Here is a 23,677-nt window from a genome sequence, read left to right as displayed (position 1 = left end):
CTCAAGAAATCTCTTGCACACCTAATCCTGTCTTGGCATCCGCTTCTTGGAGGACCCAGACGGACACACAATACTTGTGGGGATGCCAAATCTACCGTTTTATCTGCTTTATTATTTCCCACCCTTTTCCCAATTACCACTTTTTTTTTAGAAGTTGGCATTATTGGATAGTTTCCAGAATAAGAGACATTTTAGGCAATAAGAAGTGCATATAGGAAAGTCTCATTTTTTTCTTTTTAGTCTAATTATTCTTTGAAGTTTTTTAAAAAATAGTGTATTTTATTAGTAGGGCCCTTTTGATTACAAATGACAGAAACTTAATGCAGGCCATATTAGAGAAAAAGGGTTAGTGATGATTGATGATGATGCTGATGATGACACTGAGTTGCATCTCAGGAACAGTAGGATCAGGGACCTGGGTGGCATTAGTGTTATTGCTGCTTCTTATTTCTGAGGCCCATAAGATGGCCATGGATGGCATCCAGACTCATCTGACAGCCTGGGGACCTAAAGAGAGACTGATTTCTTTTCATTTTTTTTTTTTAAACAGGGTCTCATTCTGTCACCCAGCTGGAATGCAGAGGAGCAATCAGACCTCACTGCAGCCTCAAACTCCTGGGCTCGAGTGATCCCCCTATCTCAGCCTCCTGGGTAGCTGGGACCAATGGTATGTGTGCCACCATGCTCAGCTAATTAAAAAAATTTTTTTTTGAGAGATAGGGTTTTACTACATTGTCCAGGCTGGTCTTGAACTCCTGGCCTCAAGCAATCCTCCCACCTCATCCTCCCAAAGGATGTGCTGGGAATACAGGTGTGAGCCACTGTGCCTAGCCTGACTTCTTTTCAATTCCAGTAATTTTCAGGGGAAGCCCAACTTGGTCTAGTTTGGATCAGCCACTTAACCTCACATCAACTGTAATCTGGGGGACTGCTCAGAGGAAGCAACTGTGATGATTTGTCCATGTTATACCAACATGGTAGGGTTCGTGGCTACCAGGTGCATTGTGGCTGGAGGAGGGAGGAAGGAAGGTTGCTAAGATGACCACTTCATATTTACACTACACAGAAGATGTCTACAGTGTCACTGCTGCACATCCATGTATAAACACCCAGACGCCACTCTTCTGCAGAGAGCTTGACAGCCTCTCAGCAAGAGACTGGAAGTGGGATGAGCTCATGCAGGGCACACAGCTCTTGGATTTGATTCGTATAGATTCTCAGGGCTTCATCAAGAGGCTTCAGCTGCATCAGGGTTTGCAACTGCAAAGTTACTAGAAACCCTCTTGTACTTGCCCCAAATAATCAGATTTGTGTGACTGTAGTTTCAGCCTATTAGTTCTCTGCCAGAAGGAACCTGCATGGTATAGATTTGGGGTTAGGAAACCTGAGTTCTTATCTTGGTTATGTTTTAACTAGCTATGTGCCACTTAGTCTCTCTGCATTGAAATTTCTCTTCAAATCTTCAACTGGGGAATTAGACAAATAAAGGTCATTCCCAGCTCAGAGATCCTACGACTCAATAATTGTCAGTTGTAAAGAATCTGTTGGGCATTTCTTAGGCTTACTGCTACATTCTTACTTGAAACTTATTTTCCTTCCCTCCCTTCCTTCCTTCCTTCTCTCCTTCCTTCCTTCTTTCTTCCTTTTTTCCCTGCATCTCTCCCTTCCTTCTTTCTCTTTTCCCTCTCTTTCTCTCCTTTCTTCCCTTCTTTCCCCCTAACAAACAGATATTGAACAAGTGGTATATGCCAGGCACTGTGCTATGATTTGGACATAAAATAGAAACAAAACCCAGTTCCAGCTCTCAGAAAGCACAGAATCCACTGGGGTAGCAGACATATAAACGGATCATTAAAATATTACATGATAACGCTTGGTCAGTTTTTTCTTGCACCAATCATGAGTTTTTTCTTTCCTGTAATTATGTATTGGCATTTCTGCAGAAAGTGGCATCTTGTAGTTCTTGAAAGATGCAATTTTTTGTATCTTTGATGTATATTGGATGCAATTAGTTTTGATTGTCACAGCCATCCTATCAAGAAAACTCAAACAATTTTTGAAGCTCGTGCATTCATTCATTTAACAAATTTTTTTTGAGCATCTAATATGTGCCAGGCTCTGTGCTGGGGGCCTGGATGGGGTGACAGACAATAAACAAACAAAGAAAAAAGGTATATAAGTTGTAGTAAGTTCCAAAAAGGAATTGAATAGGGAACTTAGCCGAAGAATGATGGAGATGGAGAGGTACCTAATTAAATAGTGGAGTCAGTGGAATCTTCTCTGAGATGGGAACATTTCAGCTTAAACCATAGAGAGAGAAAGCCTGCTGGGCTATGCGCGTGGAGTGGGTAGGAATAGCATTCCCAGATTGAGGCCCGAGGTAAGAGAGTGCTTGGCTCACCACCTGAAAGATGGCCAGTGTGACTTGGGGACACCAGCAAGGAGGAAGAAGGTAAGGGGTGAAGGTGGGAGTGGGTAGAGGCCAGATCAGGTGGGGCCTGTATGTCAGTGTAAGGGGTTCTCCATGGGGGGCCCTCACAAGTTCTGAAGCAGCACAGTTGATTGGATTTGCGCTTTTGAAAGGTGGCTCTCAGGCTGGGCATGGTGGCTCTCGCCCGTAATCCCAGCACTTTGGGAGGCCAAGGCAGGTGGATCACTTGAGGTCCAGAGTTTGACACCAGCCTGGCCAACATGGTGAAAACCTGTCTCTACTAAAAATTAGCCAGGTGTGGTGGTGCATGCCTGTAATCTCAGCTACTCAGGAGGCTGAGGCAGAAGAATCGCTTGAACCTGGGAGGCGGAGGTTGCAGTGAGCTGAGATTGTGCCATTGCACTCCAGCCTGGGCGACAAGAGCAAAACTCCGTTAAAAAAAAAAAGAAAGAAAAAAAAGAAAAGAAAAAAAAATGTGTGGAGAGAAGAAGCTTTTCACCTGTTCTGGCTCAGCCTGGCCCCACATCCTTCGCCTCAAGGGAACCTGTGGGCCAGATGGAGACATGGGGTTGCTTTTGTTTTCTATTCTGGCCAATGGCTCTCCATTTCCTGGAAAGGTAAGACCGAAATAGAAAAAAAGAAGAAGATGGGATAAAAATGCTTGATCTCTTCCAGAGAGAGCTATAGGAAATAGAGACTGATTTAGAGAGTAAAACATCATATGACCTCATGCGCAGGACGACTGGCTGCCACTGCTGTCCCTGCCTGCCTTGGCCAAGCCATGGGGATGGCAGGAAGAGTGCAGCCAGGTACTCTGGGATGGCAGTGAGCTGACTGGATTTTGGAGTCCGACGGGTTTAGGTTGAAATCCTGGCTAAATTTACCCTATGATCCTGAACTGGTTACTTAACCTCTTTGAACCTCATTTTCCCTATCTGTAATATTGGAATAATACCATTAACTTTGCAAGGTTGTTGTAAGGATGAACTGAGGTAATACGTGCCATGGATGTGCTGAACAAATGGTAGTTGTTATGAGAGAGACAGAGTGAGAAAGCAAAAGAGAGAGAGAGAGAGAGTTGGTATCAGTTAGGCTGTCAGAATCAAACCAGTCTTTGAAATCTCCACTTCCTCTTTCAGGACCCCCAGTCTCTACCTTCCTTCTCTCCTAAAACTCCCTATAAGGAAAATGTCAATTTGTCAGGGCAGAGAGTAGTGAGGAACTTTGAAACATGCCTCTGCTTACAAGTGGGTTATGGATTATTTTTATTTTGTACCTTATTAAATTTCTAGGGAGTATATTCATTTTTTGCAGGCAACTGGCAACACTGCTTTTGGGAATTTGGGAGCACTGGAAGGAGAAATCTCTTTCACTCCCCTCCTGCCTTCATCGCGGCCTCTCTCGGGCTGACTTAATATCAGAATGTTAGGGCAGTTTCTGAATCATTGTTGGCTCTCGTAGCCACAGCCTTCGGCACCCTTAGTGCTTTGGACATGGGGAAGGATGGATTTTGGAAACACCCTCTGTTATCCTGATGGGCCAGCCAAGTGCCGGGCTCCTTACCCAGCCCCTGGCACTGCTGTGGAGGCTGCTGCCTGGTGAGGCTGCCTTTGAAAGCTGGTGTTTTGTTACAAACTCAAACCCAAAGGCTGAATTGGGTTGCAATGGAAAGTAGATTCCAAAGCTTCTCCTGGAATGTGAACTTTTCCTGGAAACTTTCCATGTTGCCTCTTAGCAGCAGGCATCAACGTATTCACACCAGGAGTCAATTAAAGAAACCCAAATTATTGCCGTTCCAATAAACAATGATCTCTCTTCCTTTTCAAATAAACTTGTTAGGATGGCCTAAAAGCCAGGTCTAATTACATGATCAGATAGCATAAATCTGATTATAGGCTTTTGTCTACTTTAATTTTCTCTTGCAATCAGAGCTATTTCTAGTAAATGTTAAATGTGTACTTAAACAATTTCAGTGTATACCTTTTCTAAAACCTACTGGGGGTTCTCTTTCATTCATCCTTACTCCTTTTTGATAAGGCATGAATGTTCCTAGGACACAGTATTTGGAGAGGAAAAAAAGATTTTGAAACAGCACACCTTCATAATTGAGCCTGTGATATAAATACATGTATCCTGCGTACAAACACATAGATCACATATCATAGGTTAGAGTGGAGGTCATTTAAGGTGGTTCTGAGTAGCCATTAAATGTTTGATCCACAGGAGGAAGAAGGAGAGGAAGTAAAATGGTAAGAATATTAGCAGTGGATCGTAACTATGCCTTTCAAACTTGTCTGAAGACAAACTTGTCTTCCAAGTGCAATCATTCTTACCAGCGATCCCTTCTTGCTCCTTCCTTACCCCTCCTTCCCCAATATAGAAGACAATATCCTCTTCCCAAGGTGCATCTTTGCCCATCCAAAAGTATCAAGATCTGCTGTCTGAATGGTTTAAATACTCATCTTATAGGTAACAGGTGTATGTTATTCACCTTTACTTAGCATTATGCCTGGTACATAATAGGTGATCAATAGGTGCTTATGGAAAGAAGGAAGGGAGGAAGGGAGGGAGGGAGGGAGGAAGGGAGAGAGGGAGGGAGGAAGGAAGGAAGGAAGGAAGGGGGAGAGAAGATTCTCATACACAACACAGTTAAAACTCAACAATCTCTTTGAAAGATCATTCTTCTGATTGAAAAGTATGACTGTTGAAATTTGGTAGTATGACTGAATGCAGAGCTGGCTAATATCATATGTCAGATAGCCTTAGTGTGCATGAGAAGTGGGTAATTATGGGTGAATTCCTTTTCCTTTGTAGTGGGATTCCTTAAGGGTCTTTGTTAAGATTCTATGTCATCTTTGTGTTGATGAGAATTATTGTGGTTATTTTATGTTTCTCTCAGTTTACTATATCCTCCTTGTCAATTCTGATGAAGCAAAAAAAGCTGCCTTGAGATTTTTAGAAAAAATTCTTGTGGAAGTTGAGCAATTACTTTTTTTTTTTTTCCTTTTTTGGCGGGGGAAGGAGAGGAAATGTTAGTTTAAGGCATTTCAGTTTGATGGCAATTTACTAATTGTAGAAATTACTCTTTTCTTTTTATTTTTAATAAGTTCTGAAACCAATATCCCTGAAACCAGTGGTATCATTATTTTCTTCTTTTTTCAAATTGGCCATGAACAGCAGAAATAAAGGGGAAATCCTATGTAATAATTCCTAAGAGGTAATAAATAAATCACAACCACCAAACATGAAATAAGATTTATTTTCCTGTTGATATATTTGAATAATTCGCATTGAAGTTAACGCACACAGTAAAGGAAGATTCCCTGAAGATTTTCTGAAGATTGTTCAATATGTACGCACAAAGAGATTTGGGACTCACTGTTAGCAAAGGATGAGGCCTTTCATCAAATGTAGTCAAATGATCTGTTTGCACTGCTTAAGGGGATGTGATAGGGTTCACTTATCAAAGTTCCCAACACCAGCCAGCAGCAGACCTCCCACACTCCTGCCTTGGAGAAAAACCCAATTTGGCCAAACAGTAGATAAGGAAGAGGACTCACCACTGTGGCTGGGTCACTGCTGGCCCAGCCAAAGTTTGATAATGTCTAATAATATCTTGTGTTTACATAGGAACCTTTTCTTGGGGGCAAAGTGCTTTACCAGCATTATCTCATTAGCCTGTCCTCTGACCCTAAAAGCATCTATAGTTTACTGGGGTTGGGAGTGAGTAGAAGAGTGAACAAAAGGAACTGAATGATGGCAAAGCTGGATTTGGAATTTGGGTCTCTGCATTTCTGGGCCAGGTTACTCTCCTACAGTCCATCACCATTCTCAGGCCTTTATGTTTTCAGTGTGTTCAAAGAAAAGGTGAAAAATCCTAAATATTCTACCTGTGTCTTTTAATTCAGGAGTTCTTAATCTTGGTTAAATGGGTTTTGTGGGAGTGGGAGTGGGTTAGGAGGACATTGTCTAAAATCTTCTGTGTGTATGACTATACTTGTATTTTTCTGGGGACTGAGCTCATAGTTTCCATCAGATTTTCTTTTCTCTTTCCTTCCTTCCTTCCTTCCTTCCTTCCTTCCTCCCTCCCTCCCTCCCTCCCTCCCTCCTCCCTTCCCCTTCACCTTTCCCTTCCCTTCCCTTCCCTTCTCCTTCCTTCCTTCTTTCCTTCCTTCCTCCCTCCCTCCCTCTCTCTCTTTCTCTCTTTCCTTCTTTTCTTTCTTCTCTCTCTTTCTCTTTCTTCTCTCTCTTTCTCTCTTTCTTTCTCTTTCTTTCTTTCCTTCTCTCTCTCTTTCCTCCCTTCCTTCCTACCTTCCTTCCTTCCTTCCTTCTTTCTTTCTCAGGGTCTGGCTCTGTCATCCAGGCTGGGGTGCAGTGGCACCATCATAGCTCACCGCAGCCTCGAACTCCTGGGGTCAAGCCATCCTCCAGCCTCAGCTGAGTAGCTGGGAGTATAAGTCATATTCCTAAGGGTGTTAATGCTTTATTTAGCTCCAAATAATTTCCCACAGGTGATCTGTTCATTTATTCTTTTATTTATTTATCCAACAAACATTCACTGAGTGTATTACCTTTGTAGGGCAGCTGTAACAAACTACCACAAACTGGGTGGCTTAAAATAATGGACCTTTATCCTCTCACCGTTCTAGAGGCTAGAAGTCTGAAATCCAGGCAGCAACAGGGCCATGCTCTCTCTAAAGGCTCTAGAGGAGGAACTTTCTTTGCCTCTTCCTAGCTTCCAGTGGTTGCTGGCAATCCCAGGTGTTCCTTGGCTTTGTAGACACATCCCTCCCATCTCTGCCTCTGTCACATGGTGCTCTCCCTGTGTCTCTCTCTGCATCTCTTCTCCTCCTCTTTTTTATTTTTATATTTATTTATTTATTTATTTATTGAGACAGAGTCTCACTCTGTCGCCCAGGCTGGAGTGCATTAGCATGATCTCGGCTCACTGCAACCTCCCCCCGGGTTCAAGCGATTCTCCCACTTCAGCTTCCTGAGTAGCTGGGATTACAGGCGTGTGTCACCACGTCTGGCTAATTTTTATATTTTTAGTAGAGACGGAGTTACATCATGTTGGCCAGGCTGGTCTCGAACTCCTGACCTCCAGTGATCCACATGCCTCGGCCTCCCAAAGTGCTGGGATTCCAGGTGTGAGCCACCGCGCCTGGCCTCTCTTCCTCTTCCCATAAGGATAATAGTAATATTGAATTAAGGGCCCACTCTAGGCCAGTATGGCCTCATCTTACCTAAAGAAATCTGCGATGACCCATTTCCAAATAAGGTCACATTCTGAGGTTCTAGAAGGACATGAATTTTGGGGGGACACTAAGCCAGCACACTGAGCATCTGCTATGCACTGGATATTGTGTTGGGCACTAGAAATTGAATAGAAGAAAATCGCTGCTTTTTAGGTACTAATAATACTTAATCTTTTTTGATTTGCTTTTTTTTTCTTCTTTCAGTCCTGTAGTGCCCCCTTTTTTTGAGGATTCCTTTAGTTGTCCTAGAGTGATCAGGAGTAGAGGAAGTCCAGGCCTTCGCTCTGATTTCCTTCTGGACTCGCATTCCAGCCCCTTTCCGGTAGGAGCAAAGATGGCTGGAGTGCGTCCAATAAGGGGCTTGTTAGCTTTCAATGGTCATAATAGCCACAAATTCTCTCTTTCATCAAAAAATGAATTCTTGTGACACATGAGTGTGCAGGGCAACCATAACAGATCAACACGGCCAGAATATTCTCTGCAGAGCGGGAATAGTGGGAGATAAGGCTGGAGAGCCAGGCAGAGATCAAGGAAGGCTTTGCAGGCCATGCTTAGGGGTTTTAAACAAGGAAGAGACATTGTCATCGTTGCATTTGCCATAATTCCCTCTAGCACAGGGTGTGGAGGAATTGGAGGAGGGACCAAAATGGAGGCAGGGAGGCCAGTTAAGGCGCCATTAGAGTGATCAAAGCAACAGGTACTGGTCGTGGGGAGGAAGCAGAATCTATGGTGGTTGGCTGATTGTAAGGATTGAGGGAGAGGACACAGCCGAGGATAAGTTGCAGATTCCAGCAGAGTAAAATGTATAATACCAGCTGTTAGATCTCAACCCAATTACCTTGTCCCAGTAGTCCACGATGCTTCTTAAACACCAAGAACCTGCAGAACTGCAGGGGACGGCCATGGAGCATGCCAGTCCTTGACAACATCAGGAAGAGCGTGGCTGTCTTTTTCCATGTAATCTGCCCTCTGTCCCCTGAGGCAAGTCCTGTAGAAGGAACTACAATAACTGGCTGGCTGTTAGAGAGATGCCTGCCCCACCTTCTTCTTCCAACAGTGCGGATGAGGAGGCTTTTAAACATCCATGTTGTCCTACCCAGGATGCCCCAGGGAGGGAAAGGGACATCTCAGACTATAGGGTGGAGGACCCTAGTTTGGCTCTGGGACATTCTTGTGTCCTTGGCTTGCTTAGCACCATGAACCCAAGAGCTGAGCTGAAGATATTTCCCCAAACTGGAATGACAATGATGACTTTTTTTCATGCTTGGAGGGAGCCATTAATGTGTCTTTTACAAGCAACTCCCAACCTCCTTAGGGAATCTGTGGTTATCTCTCAACTCTCTCATTTTCAAGGGGAGTTTGGAGCCTGAGCACAGGGGGAGCACTGCGGAGCATATGCAGGGAGTTGCCTGGACTTCGCTGCCGACCTCCAGAGGCCTCTTGCCCAGGGGTGCTCTTATCAGGCTTCTCTGCCTTTTATACCTAAGAACACAAGGAGATGAGCTAAGTCCAAGCCCCCTGTGGCTCCATCAGTCTATCAGCCCAACAGGTGGCCATGATCCTCCTGTGGAACCCTGCCACGTGGGGTGAGGTCATTAAATGTAGATCATGGAAAAGCAGGGCCTAATTTTCTGCTAACGAGTAACACATGACTGGGATAGATGTACTTGAATCACAGGAAAAGCTAATCGCAGTTTTAGCAATATTTCAAAGAAACGGGGTTGATTCTGTGGATATCAACAGTTTAGTAGTCAGGGCTGGAAAAAAATTCAGTGAGCGAGAGAAGCAGCACGCATACGAGTTGAGGGGTCTTGGGCAAATTACTTAACCTCTTGGTGTCTCAGCTTTCCCTATCTTTAAAATGGGGATAATAGTATGTGTCTCAGAGAGCTGTTGAAAGAATCGCATGAGATAAGATGTATAGAGTGCTTAGTACACTCTACATGTGTGCCTGGCACATCAAAACTCATGCATGTTACTGCTTATTATAACTCAGGTGCAGGGAGTGAGAGTAATGATGGAAAGTCAATTCATGGTTGTCAAAAGAATGATTGAATAAAGGTGTCAGTGGCTCAGGAACAGGGCTGTGTTCAGAATTCTCTCTTGCTATCTTGCCCTCTCTTTCCTGAGTTTTCCCTTTGATCTTTTTTTTTTTTTAATGCATTCCATCTCTGTGTTTCCTTTTTCTTGGTTGAGAGTGACAGGTAAGAAAGATCTCTAGGTTAAAAGAAGTGTCCCCAAGATCTCTAGGTTAAAAGAAGCATCCCCAAGGAAAATGAGGCTAGCTCCATTGTAATTTTTCTTAAAGGCTGATCCTACGCAAAAGGCTATATCTGGGTCCTTCATTTTTAAAACCAAATAGCCAGCATTAAGAGACATATTAATGTTTACTCCTACCCATGCAGTAACTGTCTTGGAGGTAGAACCTGTTGAGTCTTTCTATGCCTATTCAGAGATATCCAAACCTAATGTTCTCACTACTAGAAATTGTGTTTTATAATTTAAATAATAAAAAGCAATTTAGATAGCATTCTGATTGGACAGTAGAGATTGCATTTAGATTTTTTTCAGTAGTCACCTCAACAGCTCAGATTTTAGTAATCCTGAGAGACAAATGCAGAGCAGTTTTAAATATATAATAGTGGTAGTTTGCACTGAAAGAGGACTTAGTTATCTGAAATAAACATTTTGTACAACTTGTAGACCAAAAACCACTTGGTGAATGGAGGAATTGTATGTTGCCTTCCTGTCATCAGAGATGAACTAACGGAATTTCCTTGCTGTTTCATTTAACTCCTAGTGAAATAGATTCCCACCTCAAACGAAACATGAATTCACTTTTGTAGAGGGAGTGCTCCTAATGGAGTCTGAATGAAGGACTCGAAAAGTTTAATTTTTAGCCTTCTTTTTTGTTAGCCACTTGTGCTGACGGCAAGAGGAAACTTCTTTGTGCTTGAGAGGATGGTATGGTTGGAAACAGTTGTTCTCATTTTCTGGGTCTTCTGACTTTATCAAGCCGTTTGGCCTTTGAAGAATGTGCAAGAGGGACTGGCAGATGCCTGCTATGCTGGAAGCTGGGAGTACTGGTGGCAAATTAATAAGGCATTGATATTTTTTCCTAAAGAAAGTGTGTTATTTTCTAATTTAACTCCTTGGAATTGTAAGTACAAATGGTGATCAAAATGACAATAAATCATCCTTAGAATGGATTCTTTTCTGCTAAAAATTAAATAATCTCCTTTCAGACTGGTATGTGTCTTTGTGTAAGGGTGTCAGATGCCATCCATTTGACATCCATGTCAGCCTTCATGGAACAAGACCCAGAAGGTAACAATGAGAAATGTAGCATTTCAATGTCAATCATGAGAGAGAGAGAATGTGTAAGAAATAGTCTTTTAATAATGGACAAAATGAAAAAGATCTTATCTGAACATTTAGATTTGCCCTCATCATCTGCTCCCCTTTAGAGCAGCAAAATCCAGCTTGAACAACCCCCCCACCATCCCCCTTTATTTGAAATAGTACACACACACATACATGCACACACACGCACATATACCACACATACCACACACCACCACCATCCCCCCCTTTCATCTTTTTTATGCATGCTTGATTTTCTGTGAGAATGTAGAATTTGTAAGCAATCTAGAGCTCACCTAGGCCCTGGATAAACTAAAGAATGGACTCCAGCCCTCCATGATATCTAACTAACATCAGGCTTTAACTAGCAGATTAGTAGACAGTTGTACTGGGCAAAGACTTCGCTTTCTTTTTACCAATTTCTTCTATGAAGTCCCCGATGACTGGAACTTTCCCTTTGTTGGAAATTCAGTTTTCTTGCTGGCAAATATTGTAAGCCCCCAGAACCACAAATCCAGAAGGGGGTGGTACCGTGGAATGGGGGTGCAAGATATTATTTTACCTTGACATTCAGCACCAGAAGAAAGACAATGACCCACTTCTTTCTCTGCAGATGCCCTGAATTTGTTGTTGTTGAAACTTGTGAAATTATTTCATGTGTTTTTTTCTTTTTTAAGGATAACAATAACAGAAAGAGTGTTGTCTTCAGAGTTTACACTTCCTGGGGTCAGGGTGGAAGGACAGAGGGATTTAACTACATTCTCTGCAACTGTTTTCACTCTTGCCCAAGAATGGTTTCCCAAGAGCACTTCAATGGGAAGCAGACCTAAAATATTCCCCAGTGTACCTCCTTAAGGCCCAGTTAAATTCTGTGCCTCAGTTGCCCTGTTAAACTGGGGATAATTAAAAGGGATTTAGGGTAGGATACTTGCACAACTCTCTCTTGAGCTCATGTCCGACTCTAACAGTCCGTATGACTTCACAAGTTCGTATTGAAAGCCTGTAAGATGAAAATAATAATTTCCATCTCACAATGTATGGATTAAATGAGTTAATATAAGTGCTTAACACAGAACATAGTTGACACATTAAGTGACAGCTATCAATGTCGCCATTTCATTATGATGATATTGATAGGACATATACGATAAGAATCACGTGAATGTTTTTGTGATTCTTCACACAGGCCTTCAGGAAGGGGGTTTCCGTGGTGCTGGGGTTTGTCTTCCTCATTTTCCCACTCACTGACTCACTGTTAGCAGAAAGACAGCCTGTCCTGTTCTGCAAGAAGGATAAGTTTTCTCACTAAGCCCCTGTCCCACCCTCCTTGAGCCTGCCCTGTTCTTCAGGGCTGGAATGGGCAGGGAAGGGGCCTGTGGCAGTGGAGGAGGCCTCTTAGGGACTCGGACACCAACTCCTGAGGGGCTAGACGTGGTGTCTGGGAAGCACCTTCCCAAGCTCCCTCTTGCTGCCAGGCCCTAGGACCCCAATGTAGAAACTTAGGCAGGACAAGACTGGGGAGCATCTGGCACTTCAGAATGTAAACAGCATTTACAAGCCTTCTGCATCTCACCAAGAAAAAAATAAATACATTCTGGGGACTAACACTGAAAATCCCCTCCTCGATTCCATTCTGTCCTGATGTAAGTTATTTTCCTCCTTTTTGAATGGTTCTGGATTAAATTGAGAATAATAATAGAGAATGGCAGGCATTAAAACCTTGGTAAATATTTGTGGCATGGTGATTAGGGGCACAGACTGGAGCCAATTTTGCGGCTCTCCAGCTTGCCTTTTAGAGCCTGAGTTCCCTTACAAGTCAAATGGGGAATAATTATACTTATCTCCTAGGGATATTGTGAAGAGTAAATGAGATAATTATATAAGAATAATAATGTTGATGTTTATTGATCACTTATTAGATGCCAAGTACTATGGTTTAGGCTTCGTGTGAGCTATCTTGACCACTATACCATATTGTACTCAAGACTTAGCATACAGGTAATGCTCAATAAATGTTAGCAATTATAAAGACAATGATCATTATTATCAACAAAGTACAAACAGCTAATCTTTATTGTCCTTGGTGACATGTTTGTACCACCCTGCTTCCCTTGACAAAGCTGGTCCCCATACCCCACCCCTCCCTTGCCCCTCTCAGGTTCCTTTAGACCATACCACATCTTCAAAACCTACGGCTGTGGGGGAAAGATGACTAAATTCAGAGTCACTGGGTGACCTGGGTGGATCCTTCATTGTGGCTTGGCCTGTTATAATTTACTTGTGACACGGCACAAGCTACTTTTAGACTCACGGTGCTGGTTTCCCCATCTTTACAACGTGATCAAGATGCTGCTATTTATTCATTAGTACTGTAGGAACCTGGGGACAAAGACACTTCTGAAATGAAAAGCACAGTGTTTTTTGGCCCACTGTCCTCATCCCCCTCCAGAAGCTAGTGTGGGAAATAAGCGAGGTGTGCTGTTTGTGGGTTGATGCACTGGCTGAGACTGGAGAGAGTGAGTCCCAGCAGCCACTGTGCTAAACACACAGGGCTAGCACAGCACCTGGCATGTGGTAGGTCCTCAAGAAACCATCTGTTGGAGGTGAAGATAATTCATGATTTTAGCTAAGGATGTGTTCCCTATGTCTGCTGCAAAAAGCTGCTATGACCAGCTGCCACCCCCAACCCTCCCTCCAGAGACTCCAGGCCTGGAAACTGGAACCAAATGCTGTATGCCATTTGTTTTTTTCCTTTGGAAATTGAAAAATGTCATCGGTGCTAGGTTATGCCGCATATGCTTTCATTGCTGGTACCATATTTCCTAGTCTCTGTCCCACCATACTCTCCCTGGCATGCTTTTCCTTTTAATTCAATTAGCCTCTAGATTCTGCAAGGCCAAGCTGAAGTTTGGGGATCAGATTTTCTAAGGGTAAGTAGTATTAGGTTAGATGATTCAAACAACTTGTCTTTATTCATGGCCTAGATAGAACTTTATCTATCTCCTCACTCCTCCCCACTTTTTCCCTGCCTCCCAAATTTCCTTTCTTGCTCGTTAGATGCACATCTCTTGGAGACCACTTCTTACACTCTAAGCTGAATCTGATGCCAGGGCCCACCAGCATAAAGAGCTTTACAGGTGGAAAGCATTAAAAGAAGCTTAACGACCAAAAAGAGGTGGGCTTCTGCTCCCTAAATGGTCCTTACAAAGTAAAGTAAACCCTCAGCTAAGGTACATCTGAATTCCTCACAATAGCTTCAACTTTTTTTTTTTGAGATGGAGTCTTGTTCTCCTGACCAGACTGGAGTACAGTTGCGTGATCTCGGCTCATCGCAATCTCCGCTTTCCAGGTTCAAGTGATTCTGTGTCTCAGCCTCAATTTCAGTAGCTGGGATTATAGGCATGCACCACCATGCCTGGGGTTTCACCATGTCTGCCAGGCTGGTCTTGAACTCCTGACCTCAGGTGATCTGCCCACCTTGGCCTCCCGAAGTGCTGGGATTACAGGCGTGAGCCACCATGCCCGGCCTTCTTCATCTTTAAAAGAGAAATTATTGCCATTTCAGGGTTGTAATAATTGTGAGAGTCAAGCTAAATAGTGAATGTGAAAAGAGCTTTTAAAAACAGTAAATGCCACCAAATGTCAGGTAATATTATTCCAAACAGCATTTGTGCTTCTACACTGACATGTGCCAGGTTCTATCCAGCATTAAAGTTCTTTGCTTATTCTTCCTTGGGGGACACCCTCCTTACTCCAACTATGTTGACAGTTACTTCAGGTGGACTTTGTCTTACTTTGATCTGCGTCCCTCCAGTCCTTTTCCTAGTACCTTCAGTGTAGTGGCTGCTTGATCAGTACTTGTTGAACTGGGTCCCTTATAATAAACAACTATTGTCTTGGTCAAACTTCCTTTTTTCCTTCTACTACAAATCCACAAATTGAGAAAATTCCAAGTGACTAGATCTTTTTTTTTTTTTTTAAAGAACCAAAGAGAGTAAGAGACACAATGTGTGTTTACTAAAGAGCTGGCATTTTAATCGTACCCTTTTTAACTAGTTTACTTTAGCATGAAATGTAAAGAACACAGATTCAGATGTAAGAAATGTCACACAGTGAGGAGAAGTGAAGAACCAAGTTTTATGAATTCGGTTTAATGCCACTGAGGGGGGTAAATCAGAGAAAAATAGAACAGATTTATGAATTGCTTATTTCAGTCCACATTGGTGTGGGTTTGGACCCTTCTAGGATTTCCTGGAGCCCCGTAGGCTGTTATTCACCCTTCACGTATGCATATATAAAAATATACCATCTATAAATAGCCACCTGCCTTTTCAGTGAAATTAAAGATGGGAGAGTTAGAAGAGATTTTCCCAGTATAATTACAGGGCTCAAACCTACAGCTGTTATACTACTAGAGTTCTACCCAGATGATTTCTAATATCATTATTTTATTTTAGGCACATTTTAAAATTCTCTCTCTGTATTTTAATGGTAAGATGTTGTCCAGACTTTTATTTTATTTTTTTCTTGCCAAGATTTCTCACATACCTACTTAAAAAGAATAGGTGTTGCATGGGGTTGTTGTACAGAGTAGTTTTGTTTTATAAACTGCAGAAAATTTTCACAAGTGTTTCTACTCCTTATCTGGGGATTAACACCAAACTCCTGCCAATGTTTTTCTTAAATGCTACACATGCTCTTTCACAAACACTCTCCCTCACATATTTTCTGCAGAGATGTGCCTCCTTAAGAAAAATCCCTGCGCTTCTAAAATTCCTAGGTATGAATTGACTGCATAAGAACACAGCACAATGTGAAGGGAATTAAACTGAACACTTTTATCTTTGCTTACCAAAAAAAAAAAAAAAAAAAAAGCAGGTAGCAATGTATTCATCTGCCGTCTTTGTTCCCTTACTAAAGACCAACACTCTTCAATCTTTGAGAGCCCTGAAAGACAAGGCAGTGCTGATGAAACGAAGGGGACACACTCAGAGGAGCAGCCACTGGGCTTTCCCTGTAGAAGGGTCTAAGTGCCTTCAGCAGTTAATTTGCAAGGAAAAAACCCCGTTGGGAGCCTTCCACCTACTCTAAAAGCAAACATTCTTAACAGGCGGTATTAGTGTGGTGTTAAGAGAGGCATGCTTTAACCTAAAAGGTGTCATTTTATGAACAAAAACTGGGTAAACCTTCAGAGACTTACAATCACTGTTTTCCCTTCCTTGATGCCAAAATCTTCACAGGTTAAGATGACCTCACATACCCATTGTGATGCTCAAAACCCGGGAGGATCTTAAAGAAAAGCTGCTTTGCACGAACTGTATACATGCGGCTTCCTGCTCCTGCGAGAACTGTCACTGGTTTTCATTTCATGCGTTTGAAAAACACACGAGCCATGTGTGTGAGCCTGTTAATTAAAACAAAAACAGAACTGTTTCTGTTGTACTTTAGAACTACAGAAACTTTGAGGCCAAGCGGGGCAAGAGAAACAGCAGCACCCAGTCTGCTCCTGAGTCCCCACGGCTGCCAGGGAATGAAGCCACTGTACTAGAAAAAGCCAGGAAATAGGCACCGGAATTAAAGAAGAGAGGTGAATGGAAAGAAAAAAAATTCTAGTAAGGCTCAGAATTGGATGTATTAAAGTGCCTTTTCCATTCCCGAGGGACTCTTTCATATCAAAGTTTCTGGCTAGTGAAGGCTTCCCTGTCTAATCTGATTCCAAAGTTAGCCTCTTCTCAAGAGGAAAGAATAGCTTCAGTGGCTTCAGAGGCCATCCCAGGGTCAGGCATGGAGTCTATTGCTGCCGGAGCTGCTGAGTCATTGCCACCTTGGGAGCTGCTTGACCTCTGCTTGGTTTACCTAGAAGGTAGAGGGAAGCCTTCAGCTGAGAACACTCCACAAGCAAGGCTTCTAATCTCGAAGTATCCACTGACTTTCCCTAGCACCTGAACCCAAAGCATTTAAGGATTACCAATCTACATAAGTTACATTAGAATACCAAAACACTGATCAGTTTAAAAAAAAAAACAAAAAACCAAACACCCAAAAACTCACTGTATTCTTCACAAGGGAAACACTACCAAAAAAAGCAGCAAATATAAACACTATCTTCTAGTCCCTTTTGAATATGGATTTCATCTCCTAAGGGCAGTAAAAACATAGATCAGACAGCACTTCTCTAAAAGAGATGCTTATTCAATACCTTCAATAGTCATCCAAAGCAGGATGTAAAAAGGCTTAGGGGTATGTAGTGGGGTGGTGTGGAGGAAGGCAGGAAGCAGCAACAACAGGAAAAAAAAAATTAAATGACAGTCAAGGCATTCATTATACTCTATCTTAAAGGCGGGAGCAAAAAAGACCTCAATAATATACACCATTCTCTTTGAGGGACACACCCAATGTTGTCCCTCCATACTATTTTCCCATACTTTCCTTCTTTCTCTTCTTTGGTTTAATATTACAGGAATAGTAAACTAAATAAATGTTCATTTTGTATTTAAAAAAATTTATTTGTGATCTGTACATGTGATAAAGTGGGGTAGACCTTTAAAGCCAACAAAACAAAAATCCAAAGTAAAAATGTATAAATACAATATATATTTTCTTACAAAAATGGGAGATTTACAAAATATACATACTGTACTTATCTCTATTTTACAAATTTCACATGCACTTAAAAGATACAGCACAAAAGATGCCAAAACCTGTGTTGGAGTTTTAAAAATCTGACAGATGAGATAGTTTTGAAGGTTGAAGAAACACAAGATCGATTTTAACTTTAATGTAAAAAGCAGTTCCACTCAAGTGAACATTACATATATAAAGTAACTTGTACACTTTACAGTACCCTCTATGATTGGCATTTAAAAACTGTTCTGAGAAACAGGATAGTGTTGCAAGATTGGAGGGTAGTGTCAAAGGTGGGATAAAGGTTAGCTCCCATGATTCTCTGCTAAGCTTTACCCCATCATGCAAAAGAATCCGAGTTCTATTACAGAAAAAAAGTACATGATTTAAGATTAATAAATTTAAGTCTTCCAGCACATTTCAAAGAACTCCAGAATCACTTTGAAGTTTACCTTCTTTTAATGACTTTCTTTAAAGATGGGGCCCATGGTTCAAACCTTCCTCTTCGTTCACTATGGTATCTGCTGATCGCCTCCCAACCCAACCACACAGAGACAGGGTCAGCATATGGATGATGTTTAATAAACAGATTGATGGAACCAAGAAAACAGGACAAAATGGCTCTTTGCTTTTTTTTTTTAATTAACTTTCCTTTATTATGAGGCTGAAGACATTATGTTTTTTTACCTCAAAGGATCCAAATGGGAGAAAAAAATAGAAAAGAAACCTAAATATAGGCTTATAGCAAGAAAAAGTAAATGAAGGGAGAGATTTCCCTGAATATTTTAACATAGTCTGTTGGATCATGTGTTCCGAATTAAATTTATTTAAAACAGACAACAAAACCTCTTACATTTCCTTTAGCGAAGTCAGAACCTCTGGCTTAACGGTGTGTGACAGCACACTGCTCTTCACTTTTCCTTAAAAAGGAATGTTTATCTCAACCAAATTAACAACCAACGGGAAACCTCAGATTTGCGCTGCTTTGCCTATAAAAGTTGCTTTCGTCACAGTTATGCCTTTCCACAGGGAGACACTTTTGTTTCCTCTTTTGTCTCTTACAACAAAGACAAGGGGAAAAATGCATTCCTGTTTTGAAAAGCAACAAGTCATCACTTCTTTTCAGGGTATTAGACCAAATAAAACACCCGTCTTTCTGCCTCCTGCCTTCCCCAGAAAATGAAAAAGTAGCAAAAATACCTACTCCACGTCTCCTTGGCCTTATCTCAAAATGTTATCATCATTTCTTTTGCATCCTCACATTAGGATTCTAGCAGGCAGGCCTCCCAAGACTTCCAAATGCTTATTTTACAAGACCTGAAAGCAGTACGGGAGGAAAAACAGGCGGGAGGGGGCAGGGGAGGAGAGACCGTAATGTCTGACCCTGGAAATTAACCCATCTGGGCTCCAGTTTGGCCCCAGTGAAAAGAGATTATGGTTTGACCACTGCTTGACAAGCACACCGCAGGAGGCCCTCCCTCTTTCCAACAAAGCAGCCACCGCAGACAGGGCTGTACCTTTCCCGGGGCCTCACAGGGGTCTGGACAGGCCACTCGCCCTGCAGCAGGGGGATCGCTCACAGTCCCCGTTCAGCCTCGGAGCCGGGAGAAACTCACAGCAGTCTCTGCTGGTCTCAACCTTCTATTAGGCACAAGCTGGCCCGTACCTTTGACGATTCACATCGCCGTTATCATCATCTTCCTGCAAGTCTTTGCCTGAAATCTTTTCATCCAAACCGCTTTCCACCCAGGTCTTCTTTTCCAAATCACCCCTCGCCCCAAATCTGCAAAGAACTTCTCACTTCCAGGTCACTTCTCAGTAGAGGGGGAGAAAGTTACAGAAACAGGCCCCCACCCAGCAGTTCTTTTCCCTACCGTGCCTCTCCTCTTGCAAGAGGGCTGGGGTGGGAAAGGTGGGGAGGGGCCGGGGCTCATACCGCAGTCTCCCCCTTGCTGCTGTGGCTAAGTCTGTGGTAGAAGCGGCGCCACGACTGCAGGGTCTTGCCCGACCAGATCCAGAAGCCAGTGGTGATGCCGACGATCATGGTCATCAGGTACTTGATCATGAAGACGGTGAAGTCGGGGCTCATGGGCGGGAAGTGGCCGGGCGGGCAGGGCACGGCATAGCTCTTGCACGTCTGCAGGAGCCAGGTGCGCTCCCAGTGCTCGCGGAAGGCCTGCTCGTAGAAGTAGCAGGCCAGGACGATGGTGGCGGGCACTGTGTAGAGCACGCTGAAGACGCCGATGCGCACCATGAGCTTCTCCAGCTTCTCGGTCTTGGTGCCGTCGTGTTTCATGATGGTGCGGATACGGAAGAGGGACACGAAGCCGGCCAGCAAGAAGGACGTGCCTATGAAGAGGTAGACGAACAGAGGCGCCAGCACGAAGCCCCGCAGCGCGTCCACACTGGAGAGGCCAACGTAGCACACCCCGCTCAGCAGGTCCCCGTCTACCTGGCCCATGGCCAGGATAGTGATGGTCTTGACGGCGGGCACGGCCCACGCGGCCAGGTGGAAGTACTGCGAGTTGGCCTCGATGGCCTCGTGGCCCCACTTCATGCCGGCCGCCAGGAACCAAGTGAGAGACAGAATGACCCACCAGATGGAGCTGGCCATGCCGAAGAAGTAGAGCACCATGAAGAGGATGGTGCAGCCCTCCTTCTTGGTGCCCTGCGCCACCGTGCGGTAGCCATCGTCCGAGAAGCGCTCCACGCACACGGCGCGGTCCTCTAGAAGGAAGCCGGCCACGTGCGCCACGGCCACCATGAAGTAGCAGCCCGACAGGAAGATGATGGGCCGCTCTGGGTAGCTGAAGCGCCGCATGTCCACCAGGTAGGTGAGAACGGTAAAGAGCGTCGAGGCGCAGCACAGCACGGACCACACGCCCACCCAGAGGCGGGCGAAGCGCCTCTCCTCCTCCTTAAAGTACATCAGGCCGTTGGCACGGCCCGGTTCGCACGGGGCGCCACAATCGCGCTCACCCAGGAAGCGGTAGCCCAGGTACGGGGGCACCTTGAGCTGACGGGGGCATGAGAAGGGGAAGGCGGGACGCCCCCTGCCATCTGAGGCCCCCGGGGGCAGCGCGGTGAAGGGCAGGTCCGGCAGGTAGGGCGCGGTAGGGTAGGCAGTGGGGCCGCCGCCTGGGCCCCCGGAGCCGTCCGACGTGTTCTGGCCCACGCAGATCTCGCCCGCACCGTGCACCGGGAAGTTCTCGCAGCGCAGCCGCTCGGGCCACTGGAAGCCGAACTTGTTCATGAGCGCCTCGCAGCCCTGGCGGGCGCGCTCGCACAGAGAACGACACGGCGGGATGGCCTGATCGAGCACGGTGCACACGGGCGCATACATGGAGCATAAGAAAAAGCGGAGTTCGGGAGAACACTGCACCTTCACCAGCGGGTAGAACTGGTGCACCTCGAGGCCCGCGTCCTCTTGGTTCGTGTGGCCCAGCAGGTTGGGCAGGATGGTCTGGTTGTAGGCGATGTCCGTGCACAGCGGGATGGAGATGGGCTGGCAGAAGCCGTGGTCCGGCACGGAGATGCCCTTCTCTCCGTGGTACGGCTGCGCCCCGGCGCCCGCGGACAGTGCGCCCAGCAGCGCCAGCACCAGGGCACAGAGGCCCAGGGACGAAAGCGGAGCGGCCGCGCCGGGGTCCCGCATCGCCGGCCGCGAGTGCAGCGGTGCTCTCAGCCTGAGGAGTGCGACGAGGCGGTTGGGAGAGGCTTGGATGCGGGGAGGCGCCGCCGCGCCCGACGCATGAGAGTCCTCACGGCGCCGGGGCCGGGCCGTGGGCGGCGTGGAGCAAAGGGCGCTGCCGCCTGGGTGCCCGCGCCGCGAAGGCGCCGCAGACGCCGCCGCCCTGCACTCGCAGGGCCGCCGGGGGCCCAAAACTCGTCAGCCTGGGTTGGGGGCGCCGAGGAGGGCCGCCTCGCTCTCCCCGCGGGGACGTAACGGTGCGGCTCCCTCCGCCGCGAGGAGCAACAAGCGGCTCCGGCACCCTTCAAAGTTTGCCCAAGACTCTGGACCCCCGGCGCACCGCAGCGCGCACGCCCCCCGCGCCTGGTCCGGTCCCCGCTAGGAGAACCCCTGCCGCCGCCGCTCGCTCGCCCCGGCCGCCGCCTCCGCGGTGCTGCCCCGCCTCCTGGCCTCGAGGCTCCGCTCGTCGCCGCCTCCTTCGCCTCCTCCTCCACACCCCGCTCCTTCTTCAGCCCCAAAAGCTCGGCCCCAAGTTTCAGCCAAACGGCCGGCTCTTGCTGAGTCCGATCTCGGCCCCGGAGTCGGGAGCACGGCGAGTTCTTTTTGGAAACCCAGTCACACTGCGTCCGAAACCGCGAGGCGCTCGTGCCCGCGGCCTGGCCCCGGCCCCTCCAGCCCCTCGCAGCCCCAGCAGCGAGTCCTGGCGCCCGCCGCCGCCGCCGCCGCCGCCGCCCGCCGGGAGTGAGCGCCGACTAACGCCTCGGAGTCGCGCTGGTCGCCAGAAGAAGCGTCGGGCTCGCGGGGTTCCGGGCCGGCCCGCCCCCTCCCGTCCCCTCCCGTCCCCTCCCCTCCCCTCCCCTCCCCCCCCATTCACAAACCACTCCGGGGGCGGCCCCAGGCCCCGGCGGCCCAATGGCGGCCTTTGTTTTTTCGGTGGCCGCCTTCGGATTGGGCGGAAGTCGGAAGGGGCGGGCGCGGGAGTGGCGGAGGCGGTGTCCGCGGCGCTCTGGGCGGATTCCTGAGGGGAGGGGCGGGGGACTGGGAGGGAAAAGTTCGGAAAAACTTTTACCCTGAATTCGCTCAGGGACGAAAACGCGCAGAAAGGGAATTTGCTTCAAAGATTTGTTCCTCTTCCTGGTGCACTCAGATGCGCATTCCTGAGCAGGGGCGCCTTCGCCAGCGGCGTTTGAGGGGAGCGAGGACCGCGCAGCGCCCCTTCGGGGAGAGACGTGACCAGGAGTCGCGTTAGGACTGCAAAGGCTGGCTCTGGCGGGGCTTTCGGGTCGCCGGGTCCTCAATGTGGGGTTTGGGACGGGACGAGAAGGGGGTGCGCCTTGCGGATCGCCTCTTTCCCCCCGGACCCAAAGAGTCCACGCGAGGCCACAGTCCCCTCTCCCCTCCCCCGAGTTATAAAAAGGAGGAGGGGCCGCCTCCGAGGAGAAACCCGAGTCGGGCGGAGGGGGCCGAGTGACGGCGGGAGGAAGGACCCCTCGGAGGAAGGGCCCGAAGCAGGGAGAGCGGGGAACCCGGGCTCAGGCCACCCCGCCCGCGCGCACGGCCTGGAGTCTGGGGAACTGGGGTGACTCTAGCGAGGTTTTAAGGAAACGAAGACGGCGTTGGGGAGACTGGTTCTAGAAGTAACCTGAGACCGAGCGCCCAGGAACACTCTGTACGACGCGCCGGGCGTCTCAGTGGCCCCGTGTGCCTTGGTTCTGCGGCGTGTGCCCTTTCGGGATCCCATCTTCGTTGCAGAAGCAACCATTTGATCCTCCATTTAGAATCTGCGTAGGAATGTTTTAATGCGTCTTAGAAACCAGGCTAATTAAAGAGTTTTCAAAACACAAAGCGGGGTTATCCTCGTTCTCGGGTAGCGTTTTCTGATTGGCAAACGTTCTTTTGTTCTCGGTTAAATCTTCGTCTTGAGCCAGGCGCTGGGCGCTCGCGCGCGCTCTCTGGTTACTCCTGCGGGGGTCATAAGTCACCAGGGGGCCTCTCCCCTCTCTCCGGGCTGCCAGGAATATCAGGAATTCCCATGCAGGAAAGTGACATGTTGAGAAGGAAAAGAAAAAAATCAATCAATCAATCTCTCCTCCTCCTCCTCTTTCCTCTGTCTCTCTCTCTCTCTCTCTCACACACACACACACACACACACACACACAGCAATCCTGTGCTTTAAAAAACGTTATTCCTGGCGGAGCCCTTCTGCCTCAGTCCCGGGTGCTGGAGCTCTGAGCGATTTCTGATCAGGTTGAACCTTGGCAGAAGTTGCTGTCTCTGCTGCCTCCCGTGCGCTTCTTCTACAGCAGGAAA

The 23,677-nt window shown here is 46.4% G+C and overlaps 1 protein-coding gene and 1 long non-coding RNA gene across 2 annotated transcripts, besides 7 other annotated features; one reads left to right on the top strand and one right to left on the bottom strand.

Annotated features, from left to right (window-relative positions):
• The first annotated feature begins 633 nt into the window (after positions 1 to 633).
• Positions 634 to 16,485, top strand: LOC124906114 (uncharacterized). The gene is made up of 2 exons (XR_007088053.1): positions 634 to 667; positions 16,293 to 16,485. It is a non-coding gene; the product is annotated as an uncharacterized LOC124906114 (long non-coding RNA).
• Positions 15,846 to 16,501: an enhancer, noted in NCBI's record as "NANOG-H3K27ac hESC enhancer chr2:202904201-202904856 (GRCh37/hg19 assembly coordinates)". NCBI's record gives its function as "activates a minimal SCP1, AML or CMV promoter by ChIP-STARR-seq in naive H9 embryonic stem cells {active_cell/tissue: H9 hESC(naive)}" and the evidence as "EXISTENCE:reporter gene assay evidence [ECO:0000049][PMID:30033119]".
• Positions 15,846 to 17,374: a biological region, named in NCBI's record as "MED14-independent group 3 enhancer GRCh37_chr2:202903328-202904527".
• Positions 16,175 to 17,374: an enhancer, noted in NCBI's record as "MED14-independent group 3 enhancer chr2:202903328-202904527 (GRCh37/hg19 assembly coordinates)". NCBI's record gives its function as "activates an origin of replication core promoter dependent on BRD2, BRD4, P300/CBP and CDK7 cofactors, and independent of MED14, by STARR-seq in HCT116 cells {active_cell/tissue: HCT116}" and the evidence as "EXISTENCE:reporter gene assay evidence [ECO:0000049][PMID:35650434]".
• Positions 17,538 to 22,124, bottom strand: FZD7 (frizzled class receptor 7). Its single transcript, NM_003507.2, has one exon. It carries the CDS (start codon positions 21,329 to 21,331, stop codon positions 19,607 to 19,609), a length of 1,725 nt encoding a protein of 574 aa, NP_003498.1. The 5' UTR covers positions 21,332 to 22,124; the 3' UTR covers positions 17,538 to 19,606.
• Positions 20,400 to 21,240: an enhancer, noted in NCBI's record as "H3K4me1 hESC enhancer chr2:202899462-202900302 (GRCh37/hg19 assembly coordinates)". NCBI's record gives its function as "activates a minimal SCP1, AML or CMV promoter by ChIP-STARR-seq in naive H9 embryonic stem cells {active_cell/tissue: H9 hESC(naive)}" and the evidence as "EXISTENCE:reporter gene assay evidence [ECO:0000049][PMID:30033119]".
• Positions 21,083 to 21,202: an enhancer, noted in NCBI's record as "active region_16996". NCBI's record gives its function as "activates an Ori minimal core promoter by ATAC-STARR-seq in GM12878 lymphoblastoid cells {active_cell/tissue: GM12878}" and the evidence as "EXISTENCE:reporter gene assay evidence [ECO:0000049][PMID:35858748]".
• Positions 21,803 to 21,882: a silencer, noted in NCBI's record as "silent region_12239". NCBI's record gives its function as "represses an Ori minimal core promoter by ATAC-STARR-seq in GM12878 lymphoblastoid cells {active_cell/tissue: GM12878}" and the evidence as "EXISTENCE:reporter gene assay evidence [ECO:0000049][PMID:35858748]".
• Positions 21,993 to 22,542: a silencer, noted in NCBI's record as "silent region_12238". NCBI's record gives its function as "represses an Ori minimal core promoter by ATAC-STARR-seq in GM12878 lymphoblastoid cells {active_cell/tissue: GM12878}" and the evidence as "EXISTENCE:reporter gene assay evidence [ECO:0000049][PMID:35858748]".

The sequence above is a fragment of the Homo sapiens genome, chromosome 2 (assembly GCF_000001405.40).
Source record: "Homo sapiens chromosome 2, GRCh38.p14 Primary Assembly".
In the NCBI taxonomy this organism is placed as follows: domain Eukaryota; kingdom Metazoa; phylum Chordata; class Mammalia; order Primates; family Hominidae; genus Homo; species Homo sapiens.
Note: the sequence above shows the minus strand (reverse complement) of the source record. Positions and strands in the feature narration are given on the sequence as shown.

Bases quoted from the DNA above. Each gene is read 5' to 3' on its own strand.
- FZD7 (NM_003507.2), bottom strand. From the start codon at position 21,331: ATGCGGGACCCCGGCGCGGCCGCTCCGCTTTCGTCCCTGGGCCTCTGT.